Consider the following 15,125-nt stretch of genomic DNA (forward strand, 5'->3'; position numbering starts at 1 on the left):
AAAAAAAAAAAGTCAAGAAAATACTTGTAAAGAAAGGGAAATAGGCTTAGAGAAAATATCCCAGTTCCCAGACTTTATTTGGCAGGGAAAAAATACAGTGAAGCCAAGCAAATATTTCCACACCCCCAAGAAGCCTTTTTTTTTTTTTTTTTTTGCTCTCTTTTTAAATCTCAAGTCTTAACACAATATTCCACTTTTAGTGTTACCCAAATGTCCCAGACTTCACTAGTCTGTGACCAAAGAATTAGATCATATTTACTTTTAATGCCCAAGCGTCTCTCACCTAACTGTCAGAAATTATCCCTCTGCCCCATAGTGCCCCCCAGCTATTATGAGGGGTTCCATGGTGCCACCTCTGTGTGCTCACAAACAGACCCCAGTTTTCCTATCCCAGCCTCCCCGTCATGTCCCCTTGCCACTAGCTCTGCTGCTCGGACCCTCATGAAACTGGCAACTCACAGGGCAGAGCTGCCCCCTGCCTGGGGATTGCTGGTGCCATGCACTGCCCCCAGCATGGCCTTGGTGGGGGACACTGCTCTCATCTTTATTCTCCAGGATATATGCCCTTTCTCATTACCAAACAACAGAGTTTGAAATTAAAGTATGCCTTTTGATGGGATTTATTGGAATATTAGAGGTAATATAAGAAATACAACCTAGAGAATGATTTTTAACCACCACATGGGCCCAGACTTGTCAATGACCAGATCTGGCTAATGTCCAGATCAGGTCCTGCTTGGCCTCCTTCCATATGGCCAAGGGAAGCTCATCCCTGCCCCAAAATGGTTTCTTCCCAGAATGAGTAACAGTGGAGACATCCATTCCCTCCACTCACCCCTTCAGTAAGTATTTGTTGAAAGTCTATTATGTTCCAGGCACTGTAGTAGGCACAGAAGATATAATGGGGACCAAAACAGCCATGGCCCAGTCCTCAAGGAATTTAAAGTCTAGAACTGAAACAAACAAAACCTAAATAATTGCATAATGAAATGTTATTAGTTATAAAATATCTTAAGTGCTATAAAGCAAAATTGTGGGGTACCAGGAAAAAGTCTAATAGAGGAAGACAATTCAGATTAGGAAGGTCAAGTAAGACTACTCTGAGCAAGTGGCATTTAACTTGGGACTGAAGGCTGGATAAGAATTAGCCCCATGAAGAGCTGGTCAAATAGTGTTCCCGGGCAGCAGTGATTGCCGATGTGAAGTGCCTATTGGAGAAAGGGGCTTGGGAAGACCAGTATGGCTGAAGGCAAGAGAGTGGGGGCAGAATGATGTGAGATGAGGCTGGACAGGGAGGCAAGAGCCATCTACATAGGCACTGGAAGGTCATGAAAAGGATTTGGGATATAATCCCAGGTGTAATGGGTTGGTGTTGAAGGGCTTTGAGCCAGAGTGAATGCCATGATTTCATCTGTACTTTAAAGACATTCTTGCAGCCTTATGGAGAAAGAATGGAAAAGGGGGCAAGAGGCCATTCAAAAGATAGCAGGTGACTACCCCAGTGGCTAAGCAAGAGATGATGGTGGCTGGGACAGTGGTGTTGGCTGAAGAGATAGAGAAGTAGTCCATTTCAAGATATGTTTGAAGTAGAACTAACAGAATGTGATGATGGTGAGAGGAAGGAAAGTCAAGTTAGTGGATCAAGGAGGGCTTCCAGTTTCTGACTTGGGCGGCTGGGCATGTGGTCTGATACACGGGTATTGAAAAGAGAATAGTCAGTTTCCAAAGTCTGAGTTACTTGGTATTAAATATTCCACCTATGAAGCATCAGCAGCCCAGGGACAGGCAAACCCCTTTTCAGTTTGTCTTTTAAAATCTCCAGCAGTCTGGCAAGCCACCCTCACCCACGGTCTCCCCATCATATCAGTTTTAACAAAAGATTACTATTTTCTTTAGAATTCCCCCTCCAAGCAATGCCAGGATAAATATGAGAGAAAAAGAGAGTATTTATCATACTGATTAAGAACAGGGCCTCTGGGATTAAATCCCACCTCTGTCTTAGGTAAGAGTGGCCTTGGGTAAGTTCTGTAACCTCTCTGTGACTCAGTTTTCTTATCTGTGAAATGGCGGTAACAATAGTACTACTGCAAAGAGCTGTCATAAGGCTTAAGTGGATCGATTGTATTTCATGTATTTAGACAGAGCCTGGCACCATAAGTTCTCAGAGCCATAGGTTCCCAGACAGTGTTAGGAACTGCCATTGCCTTTCACTGATGCCAGGTTCCCACTTCCTCTAGCATTGTTCCATGCTAGAGGCTGCTTTGCAGAGGAGAAAGCCTTTTTTGAGTCAGGTAGATTTGACTTCAAGTCTCCACTCTCCTACTTAACCTCTCTGAGCCCAAGTTTTCTTACCTGTAATGTAAGGACAGTAATACTCACTTTCAGTGGTTATTATGAGGGTGAAATCAGAAATCTTTGGTCACTACCTTGTATATAGCGGATGCTCAATAAATGTTAGATTTTTTCCTATCCAAAAGAGTTTCTCTTCCCAATTTAAATAGAGCATCTCCACCCTGTACCACTAAAAAGACCCCAGCAGGAGGAAGGCAAAATTTCAAACCCTTCATAGGGTTACAGTTTATGAATAAGGTATGTGAGTCAGAAATTTTACTTTATTGCCCTTTTTGGCACAATATGGAGCTATTTAAAAGACAGAAACATGAATGTAGACTTCTTACATCCCAGAGAGAATGGTCCACAAAGATTCCATTTGGCCCCCAAGTCATTTATGTTTCCCACTGCCAGTTGAACTCTTCCTGCCCGCACTGTCACCTTGAACAATCAGAGTAAGAAAACACAGGCACCGGCCCACAGAAAACACTCTTGGCTGTCCTGGAAAGCGGAGATTCCTTGGGTTTTTATTTTCCGTTTCCTTTGGCACACCCGTGCGGTGGCAGTTTGCTGTGGATGCCACCCTCTTCCACCTGCGTCCTTGTGGTGGCCTTTCCCTGGGTTCTTGGTTCTCACCTCTTTCTGGCTCACATGAGCCATTTGTATTGCTGCCTAAGTTGCTGTGTGTCCCATCAGGAGCAGCATTTAGAGACTCATTTCCAATGTAGAAGGAAAACATTGTGTTAAGGGAAAGGAAAGTGTTTACAAGCAGATGGAGAGTCCTGCAGAAGAGTCTTTCCCCTTAATCCTTGAAATCTCACTCATCCTGTGTTATGGTTGACCCTGAACGGATAATATAAAGGCCTTCCCTTTGATAGGCTTTTGGGGAATTACTGGGACTAGACAGCAGTATCCACAGAGGTAAGAAGAAGACTAGTACTTATGACTACAACAGCAAAGTAAAAAATACTCAAATAAGACTAACAGAGTGTCTTTGGATTTCAGAGAACAAATCCGTCAAGGCCTAGAAGAACTCCAGAAAGTTCTGCCAGGAGGAGACACTTACATGCATGAAGGATTTGAAAGGGTAATTTTAAAACAGTTTGAAATCCAAATATAAAGCATGATATTGAAATATCAACATGGGGTGACTGATGAGATAAGGCACTTATATTAAGAGGGCTGACTAGCACCCAATAGCAAGAGAGTACATTTTCTTCCCATAAGCTTGTACACTGACCACTCTAGCCAAAAGAACTAAAGAAATGGATTCCCTTCCTTCTTCCCTGACCCTGATGAATGGTTTGTTAGCTAATGGTTGGCTGGCAGTCACAAATTCACGCCACACACAAGTCCCGCCACTCCAAAAATGTCCTTTGTTGGATGTCAGCTTCAGTGATTGAGGCAGAATTTCAGGGACTTCAGCTTTAAGGGAAACAAGACCATAAGGAATAAGACATCAATCCGTGCTGACAACTACAGTCATCTGTCACTTAACAAGTACTAGGCCATAAGGAATAAGACATCAATCCATGTTGACAACTACAGTCATCTATCACTTAACAACAAGGATTTCAACAAAATGCCTTGTTAGCCAATTTTGTCATTGTGACATCATAGTGTGTACTTACACAAACCTAGATAGTATAGCCTATTACACACCTAGGCTATATGGTGTAGCCTATTGCTCCTAGGCTATAAACCTATACAGCATGTTACTGTACTATACATTGTAGGCAATTGTAACACTAATGATATTTGTTTCTAAACATAGAAATGGTAATGCATTGAACTACAGTGTTACCACAGCTACGATGTCACTAGGTGATTGGACTTTTTCAGCTCCATTATAACCTTAGGGGACCACTGTCATATTTGTAGTCTGTCCTTGACCAAAACATTGCTATGCAGCACATAACTGTATACTACTTAAATGAGAGGTAACTTTACATGGATATCAGCCACTGATAATTGAGCAAAGCCTGGGTGAATTACATAAGGAATCAAGACTGAATTGGCTGCATATTCAACAACAGAGCCCATTATCCACTATGGTTTTTGGAGTGACAAACAGTGGTTATAAGTCTAAGGGCTCTTTCATATGTTTTTCAGGCCAGTGAGCAGATTTATTATGAAAACAGACAAGGTAAGACTATAGTATGAACTACCATTATGAATTATTTAACTTTTTCCGTGTTTGTTGCTGAAAAAGTGCTTCAGTCATTTCATGTTTCAAAAGACATGTATGATATTATCTGTAATTCTTAGACACACATTTCATCACAAACAAGGAATGCATAGAAAGGTGGCATGTATTGGGTCAAATTCCACTGTCCTGTTGATGCCAAGAAAAGTTATATAAAAGTAATTAAGATCCCATTTTGGCCACAGTCTAATTCCCATGAAGAGTTTTGCATGTTGAATTCACTAAATTAGTAAATACTTGCATAGGTTAGTAAAGTCTTGGATTTTTATGTAAAATTTAATTTTGTTGTTCTTCTCTGAGCTCCAAGCCTCTTCATTACTGTGACTGAACATAACATTAAGATCAAAATACCAGTTTGATTTAAACTTTCCTATATTTAAATGAAAAAACTGCATAAAATATACTCAGTAGAGTGCCTAGCACATAGAAATTTTTATTATTTTAGCTATTATTACTACAGTGTCTTTCGTGAGTAGCATTTCTGTATCTCAGTCAAATCTCTTAAAAAAGAGATTCAATATTACAGTAGAGACTTTCCTCCCAGGCCTATAGAGGTGTCCATTTCTTGTTTCATCCTAAACTGCAACAAACAGAACAGACTCAATATCAACACCAAATCTTGCTAATGTAAATCAACCGTGAATGTTGATATGAGAAGCCTAAAAATCACTGAAATAATTCTAGTAGGTTTTGCCAACTGCTATAATTCTTCCAGTCAACTTGTAAATCATGATGACTATTACTTTCACCAAACTGTCTTCAAGGGGTGGTGTATGTGGTCCATTACAGCAGGTGACAAGGACGTCTGAACAGCCCAGGTGGGAGTTTGCTCACAGCTTGGGCAACAGTTATGTGTCTGCTAATAGAAAATAATCACACTTGATTCACCGGTGCTACTCCCAAATGTTGGTTTAGTGACCATTTCATCAGGTTTGGCCATTTTTCAAGATGAGGCTGAAAAATGAGAAAGCAAAACCTATTCCCCCTAAAGTCTGTCCCCATGGGGGATCCTTCTTCATGCTGGAGTTGCTTCCAGGCCCAAAAGAAAAGTTGGTGATTCTCACAATATTGACTTTGGGTGGTTGAACTCGTAAGAGGTTGAATCCTGGGACTGAGAGGGTGTTTCCTTGGGTGGAGCAGGGTGGACTGAGCCAGTCTGTATTGTGTTAAACAGGGTACAGGACAGCCAGCGTCATCATTGCTTTGACTGATGGAGAACTCCATGAAGATCTCTTTTTCTATTCAGAGAGGGAGGTAAGCAACGGCCTGGCTGTGTCTAAACATATACATGGAACGGGGCTTCTCCTTTCTAAAATGGGCCACACTCTCTCTATTCATGTGATAGGTGTTCTTTGCAAATCCCCTGAATGAAATAGAGTTTCATAAGTAGAAATAATAATAATAATTCGTGTTCTACAAGTGAATTTTCATGTTTTACACATGGTAAATGTTTTCCCCTTTCAAAATTTTTACATATTACTCTGCTTTGAAGGATTAAAAATTCTACCCTGCCTTTATTGATGGCATTATATTGCTCTAACAGTTTTTAAATACTGTATATCACTTGTAAACAAATAAACATTGATATAATTTTTCCTTATATTTTCTACTAAAACAGGAGGAAGGGAAAGAATTACTTGAAATATGTAAGAGCCAGTCTTGTCAGAATGTATCAATCACTGAGATTTTCACTCTAAGAACCAAAGTTAAACAGCAGTTGGTAGCAAAGTTAAATTGTCATCTCTCTTTTAATAGTTCCTTTTTTTCTTTTTCTTTGTGTTCTCAAAAATTATTCCTCAAGGCAAGTGGAAAAATTCTCTCAATGAAGATTTTACCTTGTATAAATAGACTTAGAAAAATAAGTTTGCTGATGAATTGAAAACTAATGTTTATACTTACGAAATTCTTTTCTTTCAAGTTTCACATTTGAGCTATATGCATAATTAGTATAAAAGGAAACAAGTTAACCATAGAAATGTACTGAAACTATAGCCTTATTAGTGACAAAGGTTCATTCAGGCCCAAGGTAGAAAGAAACAACATCCCAGAGATGCAGGCTCTAGAAGAGGAGTTAATGGTAGCATCACACTTTCCTCAAGCTCTTAACAACTATTTACTTTAAATTCAGCTCTTTCCACAAACACAAAATATATATTCATTCATTTATTCATTCAGTGTTAACTGAGAGCTTGGCATATACTTGACCATTTGCTAGAAACTAGAGGCACAGAGGTGAGTGAGATACAGCTGCTGCCCTCGTGAGTCACCATGAAATAATGGTCAGCCCTTTGAAGCCTACACTGGCAGAGGACTTAGAGAAATTATGTAGGTAAACTCTCCTCCCACTAGTACAAAAAGTAACTCTAATGAGGAAATACACAAGGTAATATGACAGACACTCCCTGAGCATTTGGAAAATAATACATCTCTATATTTGAAAGTAGAAACTCACTATGTGATGGGAATGCAAGATGGCTTGATTGGGTGCCAAATAACAGTCAAATAAAGTAAAAACCCTAATAAGGAAAGAATTGAAACTAAAATAAATGATGGGGTGTCAGAGGCTTAAGATAGGGATTAGTGGGAAGGAATTTTAGGTATGGCACATACAAACTTGGGAAAATATTCAGAGTGCCAGTAGAAGGAGACCTTCTGAAAAAGAAAGATAAAGCTCAAGATATAAAGAAATTGAACTTTTCCCTTCTTGACAATTCTATATAAAGTCCAACTGGAGGAGAAGAATCACAGAGTTGTTGCAAATAAAGTTGAGGCTACAGTGAGTCTAAAAGTTTATTTTATCCTAAAAGCAGCAGGGAAATTTCTAACATGAAGGAAAAAAAGACATAAGTTTTTGTCCTTTCTAGAATTCAGTGTTAAACAGAAATGGATTTGAGTACTAAGAAAGGGAAAAAATAACACAATCAAAATCAATATGCATATATTGAGCACTCGCTCTATGTTTGCTATCAGTTATTAAGCACCCACTGTAAGTGCCAAGGATTTTCAATTTTTTTTCCATTCTGAAACACAGGAGAATCTGGAAATCAGATTATCAGAGACTTTAATAAATCAAATATTGAAGTTGAGCCAAAATCTGGGTATTATTCATTATGTTGCCATCCCAATGCTTAATTGTAGAGATCATGGATTTACCTATTCAAATATGGACCACAATTTCCATACCATTAAACCACTTTATTCTGTAGGAATGAAAGGGCTTTATTCACAAAATATGCTGACGTTTATGAGTATCTACGTGGTTCTAGCCTTGTGTGAGGAGCTCTGTAAATGTTCTCATTTAATCCCCAAAACACAATACAGAGTAAAGCCAGGGGTCAAACTCAACTATATCAAGTTCCAAAGGCCCCATTCTTTTGTGATATCACGCCCCCATTACAAAGAAACGTATGTCAGTAAAAATCCATCAAAGGAATGGAAAAGGTAATCATTTCCCCAGAATATTTAACTTAGTCTGCAGTTTTCCCTTCCTCCCCTCATCTTTAAGCCCTTCATCAAGACTCTACTTCAGTGTGTCTTTTCAAGTCCACCATGTGTTATGTTAGAATGTGATGTCCACTGAAGTCTGAGCTTCCTGGGGACAGGGATTGCCTTCTCCAGTATGGCACCAGGCACATGGTAGGTGCTCATTAAATACCTCATCATTGAAGTTAGTCAGGTAGCTCCAAGAGGAGTTCATTTGTCACTGCTTCTCTTTCTAATGTCCTTTCTTTCCTTTTCCCAGGCTAATAGGTCTCGAGATCTTGGTGCAATTGTTTACTGTGTTGGTGTGAAAGATTTCAATGAGACACAGGTATGGTAATGGATTTCCTCAGGTTTGGAGCATACTGAGCTTGTGAATCATGAAGAACATGTTCAGTCAGTGCAGAGGGAAGATCAATGGAATAAATGCCCCTGAAATAGGTTATTTTTCTAGAAATGCTAAACAGGAAGGAATTACTGGTTGTGTAAGGAATATGAAGTCATTTGCTGATGCTCTTGAGGTCTTCAACACAGACCATCAAGGCAGCATCTTTCTTGGCAAACATTAAATTGCCAGGATGTCAAAAGATATCTGAATTAACTTGGAAAACGGGTTTTTTCTGTTTGTTTGTGTTTTGAGACAGAGTCTCACTCTGTCACCCAGGCTGGGGTACAGTGAGCTGTCTCAGCCCACTGCAGCGTCTGCCTCCCAGGCTTAAGTGATCCTCCCGCCTCAGCCTCCTGATTAGCTTGGTATACAGGTGCACATCCTGAATAGCTGGGACTACAGACACACACCATCACACTTGGCTACTTTTTTTTAAATTTTTGTAAAGATAAAGCCTCACTGTATTGCCCAGGCTGGTCTCTAACTCCTGGGCTCAAGTGATCCTCCCAACATGGCCTCCTAAAGTGTTGAGATTATAGGCATGAGCCACCACACCCGGGCCAAATTTAATTTGACAAGTATGATTTTCTTATTCAAATAACAAATGTTCCTTTTCACCCATGAAAAACGCAAAGTATTTTCAACACAAAAATATGGAAATAATTGGACAAGTGGGCAAAAAAATGTGTATAGGTGCATATAATAAGCAAGTTGTAAAAGCTTACTAGCAATCTAAATACATGTACCTCAATGTAGTTCATCGTTTCTTTTTGTTTTAATGGCATAGGAAAATGCTCATGATATATCATTAAGTGAATAAAACAAAATTACAAAGCAGTGAGAATAGTATGTGCTCACTTCTAAAATAGACATTTGTATGTTCACATAGAAAAAGTATGAACAGTGTCTATCAAATGGCTAATAAAGATAGATAGATGATAGATGAACAGAGAGGATTATGAGTAACGTTTGTTTTCTTTTTGTTTTAACTCTCCTGGATTTTCCTAAGTTTTTACAATGAGTAAGTATTACTTTTGCAATCAGTAAAAACAATAAAACATATTTTTTTAGAAGCCATACACAACAGCTGACACTGACTCTGTGGCAGTCACAGAACCACACAGAGATCTGGGGGCAGACAAGCCCTACATCGGCTTCTCCTGGCCCTCAGTTTCCTGCTACATAAAGCAGGAGCAGCCAAACCAACTGCAAGGGCCCTTTCCTTAATGGGCAGTTTGGGTGAAAGGTGAAGGTGGCCTCACCCAACACCAAAGCTTGAATTTAAATTTGCTCTGAAAGGGAACTTGAATCTGCTTGATTCAGATAAAGTTGCCAACAGGAATTTGGGTGAAGGGGAGAAAAATGAGCCCATGGCCTGTGCCCAAATTTATAAACATATCAACCCAGGCCAAGCGTTCATCAAGCTGGGCGCTCTTACCTCTGCTCCCGAGGAGAAAAGTATTGAAACAAATGTAAAAGCTGGAGCCAACCCTTGGCCTGCTCCAGAGAGGCCACTGGTGAGCTTGTTATTACTGATGGCTTTTCAGGGCAGCCCCTGAGCCCAGTGAAGGCCTCATATTCCCCTGGGTTCTGAATATAACTAGAGCCCCTTAGCCCCAACGGCTTTCCTAAATTTTCCACATCCAAGCCTAACAGTCTCCCCATGTGTTTGTGTATTTGCTGTGTTCTCAGCTGGCCCGGATTGCGGACAGTAAGGATCATGTGTTTCCCGTGAATGACGGCTTTCAGGCTCTGCAAGGCATCATCCACTCAGTAAGTAGAGCTCTTCCTCTGAGACTAGACATTCAGGCACCTTCCGTCTCTGATCTGCTATTAATACCCCAATTCCATCTCTCAAAGCCTGGTGTTTTTCTGCTTAAGAGAACATCATTTCTTCCTATATCTTTGTGTCTGCCACGTCCCATCTCTCCCTTCTGCCTTTTACACATCTTTTCTCAATTGTACCCTGCAGTGGAAAATTAACAATTGAAAGGGGCGCTACTCTGGCAGTGAGCCAGGCTTCAGGAGGCCCTCTCCGTTCTCCTAACTGGGCAGACTGTGGCTGGTGGTTTACGCTTGACCACCTCAGCTTTCCCATTGTGACTGAACACAAGCTGCCTTCAGAGCACTTGTAGGCTTGGACTTATATCACTTGGCCATTGGATGCACTTTAGACCAGGCTGTCCATTGAAGTCATCTGCAGAGATTTAAAAAGCACTGCTGCCTAGGCATCTGGTCTGGGGTGCAGCCTGGACCTCAAGAGTTTCTTTAACTCTCCCCAGGTGATTTTAATGTTGAGACCCACTGCTTTCGACCTATAATCCCCAAATACATGGGCTCCAGTGTTGTCCAGGGTTTGCACGGTCACCAGTCCTCCTTCACACATAGGTGATTTTCTTCACACCTTTTCCTGAATAGTAAACAGGACACTGGCTTCCAGGGCCTCTATTCTCCACCTCCCATACACAGGCAAGGCCCTTGGTCCAAATAGAATATTGGATGCTACTGTCTTAAAGCCTCAGCCAGCAGGTCAGTATGTGTGCTGCACCTGCAATGATGTTCAGATGCTCTGCAGCCTCCACCATTAGGTTTTGTGATCAGGCAGGCATCTGTGATCTTCACTGGCAGCTTACCAGGCTACAGACTTGGGGTCCAGGATGCAAATTCAGAGCTCAGGGGATCACTTTCCTCTTAAGACATCAAGGGGGTCTTGATCCAGGGGTTACCGGCCAAGGGCTCAGCATCTGCCAGCCCTCCCAGACCAACCCAGGAAAATTCCAGCATGGCTGTGCCTCCATGCTGCTCTCCCTTCAGGGTTTGCTAGGAGCTCCAGCAGAGTGGAATGCAGAGTGGGAAGTAAGAAGCTCAGAGCCCGGCAACCCAGAGTTTCATTGGCCCACGTACTTAACACTTAGAGATCCTTGGACATTTCTTGTTTGGAAACAGGGACTGATGATGACTTACATCATAGGCTTGTTTGAGGATTACAAGGATTACTGGTGAAAATGCCTAATACTTTTCCAGACATACAATAGGCACTCAAGGCATATGAATTATTGCCTCTTCCACTTCTCTTCCCTATCATATGACGGATATTAATGTCAGCTTCCTTTGATCCCCTAAACATTCTTGAATATGCATAAAAATCACTTGAGAATTATGTTTGTAATACCTATTCCCAAGAGATTCTATTGCATTGAGTTTCAGATGGATCCAAGGGATCCATATATTTCAAATCTGCTTTTTTTTTTAAGTGCCCCAGGTATGCTTTTAGAACATTGACATATCTGACCTTAAGAATACAGAATTGCAAAAATTCATCCCACCTCAGGTTGGGAATTTCTGTCTTAATTATGTTCCAATGACAGTTGTTTTATTCAAGAAGTGCTTGTTTGCAAAGAATATATGCCTCCTCAAGCTACCTTAACCAGAAAGTGGAAATTATTGATAGCATAGAGAATTATCAGACCCAGTTGTCAGTCCACAGGTGAAGGACTCCTACTCTAAATTATTTCTGGGGTCACTGTGGCATACTTGACAGTGTAAGCAACAAGAACTACAATAACCATGTAAAACAACAACCCAAGGGATGCAAAACATGATTAATAGCAGGACTGGGGGCCGATCATGGATCCTTAAGAAGCTCAGAGGTGGATTATTCTGGGCAGGAGTCCTCATGAGAAGGCAGCGCAGACCCGAATCATTGAAAAACCAGGGAAAGGTGATGGGTACCACCAAAGGAGAGATATTATGACCTCAACCTAGAGGCTGGAAGACAGAAAAGCATACTCAGGGGTCAATAATAATAATAATACCTATCTATCTAGTGGGACAGTTTGGGTAAAGGAGTCAGGAGTAATGGAAAATAAGCCTAGACATTGGGTTGAAACCAGATTAACATGAGCCTCGAAGGGGTTTTGCCTCTAACCTATAGGCAGTGGGTGTAGTTACTGAAACAAGTTAAGAAAATAATCTGATGGCAGTGCTTGCATACGTGGGAGGGAGACTGGGGATACCCAGAGACTGTAGGCCAATTAGGAGGCAATAGTCCTGCCTTAAGATGGCTAGATTCTGAAAAGGGACAACTCTTATCTGTTCAGACGTTCTTATGAGCCGTGTGCCTAACTCCAAGTGTTGTTTCCCACATAGATGATTGGACTCTTTTTGTATGCATAAATCAGTGTTGTCCTTGAATACATCAGCCTTAGCAACTCACCCAAGCTCAACATGAGCCCAAATGTTTGTAAAACTTCCTCCATCCCCAAATGGAAATAACTGCAAAGATCTTTAAGAAATTTTAGCGAAACTATCGTTCAAAATAGAAAGAAAACTAATTTGAGACTTTAGTCTCCAAACTTTTAGCTGAATGATAACATTCCTGTGAGCTTTTATCTGTGAGTTATGCTAGTGGTTTTGATCCTTCCAGTACTCGAAACCCATGTTTATGGCAGTTGTTCATTCGTTTGCTTGGACAGAGAAACAGGGACAAGTAGAGCGAGCTCATCTTTCTTAAATCAGACAGAAATAATTACGGCCTAAAAGTTGGCTAACTATTTTTAAGAAGTAGATTCATTTCCCCTTTTGGATACTGAAAAGAAAACTCTCAATTTCCCCCCCATCTGAAGCCTCTATCCCAGCTTGTTCCCATGAATGTTGTTTTGTGGCTGGTTATTTTCTCATAATAAAATAGGACTGGGCTTAATTATCCAAAATAAGATTGCAGAGCAGCTTCTGATAAGCTCAAATTCTTCACAAAGTTTTCTGCCCATAATGCTCATATTTTTAAACCTTAAATTAATATGCAGGGGCTAGTATTTATTCATACATCAAATACTTATTGAAAATCTTTTATGGCAGGCTCTGACCATTCAGTAACAACTAAAGCAGGTAGAGGCTCTGTCCTGGTAGAGCTTACAATCCAGTGGGAGAGACACATTAAAAACAAGTAAATAAATAATCATGTGGAATTAAAATTGTGATAACAGGAATAAAAGAAATAACATGGCCATGAGATTAAGAGTAAAAGGGTTGACAAAGAACCCAGGTTCCTTTGAAGAGATGAACTGAAGGACGTAATGGAGCCATCCATTGGAAGGGCATGGATAGAATGTTCTTGGCAGAGCACGGCCCAGTACAGTGCATAGGAGAATGAAAGACCAATGCTTAAAGTGAAGAAAGGCAGAAGATGACATGAAGAAGCAGGCAGAAGCTAAATCCAAGGACAATAGGAAACTATAGCTAGGTACAGAGTCTGACAATAGAGCAATCAGGCTTGAAATCAAGACTCAGGAAATCTAGACATCATGGCACTCAGAATCAATAGCATTTCGGCCTTTGAAGAAGAAAACTCACTATGACTTGAACACGTTCTCTCTATTAGCGCCTCTGCCAGGCACTTAACCACCACTCTCTGAAGAAGGATTTATTATCCCCATTTTATAGATGAGGAAACTGAGGTGCAAGAAGGTTGGAGAAACTGCCCTCAGGTCTGCCCTCTTATAATGGTGGAGTGGGGAATTTGAACTCAGCTCTGGTTCCAAAGATTCTGCTCTTTTCATGACATTTGGCCATAAATGTCTGAGGAAATGGAAAATCACCACTGGATTACCAGAAGCCAGTTGCCCAGGGCTTGGATTCATCAAATCCCCAGATGCTCTGCTTCCTCAATCTGATGCTCATGTTTTGATCTTTCCACTGTTCTTCAATCCTCTCTCCTTCAAGAGGAAGTACTTATGTGTCAGATTTTTTCAAAATGTTCCCACTTGTTTTCCATTTTAGTTTCTTAACTGAGAGGGATAGGAAAAGGGCAGAAGGAAATTAACAGCTGTAGAGAACTTACTTTGGAACCAGACATTATCCCTTTTTCCCATATAATATTATTTCATTTAAAAATCATAACAATGCTGCAAAATAAATATTCCTATTCCAATGTTACAGATGAAGAAACTGAAGCTCAGATAACCTGCCCAAGACCACACAGCCCTAAGGGGGAAAGCAGGGTTAGAACCCACTTTTTCCTTGACTCTAGAGCCCATGATTTTTCCTACCTCTATTTTCTTAGGAAGCTAAAAATAATCAAAACCACCATTCAGTGAGTTCGTACTATGTGCCAGGTACTGTGCAAATCATTTCACATAATCATCTCCTTGAATCCTCACAGGTGCCATTTGATGTAGAAATCATTACCCCTTTTATAGAAGTAGATACTAAAAGTTCAGAGAGATTCACCAACTTGTCCAAGGCCACACAGCACAGTGAGTAGTGATCCCGAATAGACTCAAGTCTTTCTAATGCCCACGATGTGAATGCCCACTGTGTTCTACTAAACAATGCAGGCAGGCCAGGAAGTAGCTCCATTTCAGAGAGGAAGACACTGAGGACTGAAAACGTGAACTGGCTTGACAGAGGCAAGACCAGAATCCATGTGGCCTGATCTGAATACACCGTGGATGGGCAGGGGAGCACTTTGCCTCTTACTACCAGGTAGAGACCACCTCCAGAAATCATTACTGCCCAACGGATGAAGTACCATCGTCCTGAGAAGCTGGAGAATTGACACAGGCTGCAAGGAACATCTCCCCTTCCACACTTGCACAGGACTCTACCTCTGAGCACCACGACAGTTTTCCCACTCGCTTCTGCAGAATATGGTGATAAAATTACAAGAAGAAGTCTGGATGGCTGGAAGATTGTAGCCCTTGAAGCCAGTAACACTGTAAA

General features: G+C 40.9%; 1 protein-coding gene across 6 annotated transcripts in view; it reads left to right on the forward strand.

Annotated features, from left to right (window-relative positions):
- ANTXR1 (ANTXR cell adhesion molecule 1) overlaps positions 1-15,125 on the forward strand; it is a 236,184-nt gene that overhangs the window by 54,167 nt on the left and 166,892 nt on the right. For all 6 annotated transcript variants that reach the window (NM_053034.2, NM_018153.3, XM_017005077.3 and 3 more), the window contains exons 4-8: positions 3,337-3,418; positions 4,444-4,477; positions 5,712-5,791; positions 8,280-8,348; positions 10,098-10,178. In NM_053034.2, coding sequence (NP_444262.1) covers positions 3,337-3,418; positions 4,444-4,477; positions 5,712-5,791; positions 8,280-8,348; positions 10,098-10,178 — 346 coding nt within the window. The remainder of the gene's footprint in view (positions 1-3,336; positions 3,419-4,443; positions 4,478-5,711; positions 5,792-8,279; positions 8,349-10,097; positions 10,179-15,125) is intronic.

This window comes from Homo sapiens, chromosome 2, assembly GCF_000001405.40.
Source record: "Homo sapiens chromosome 2, GRCh38.p14 Primary Assembly".
NCBI classification, from domain to species: domain Eukaryota; kingdom Metazoa; phylum Chordata; class Mammalia; order Primates; family Hominidae; genus Homo; species Homo sapiens.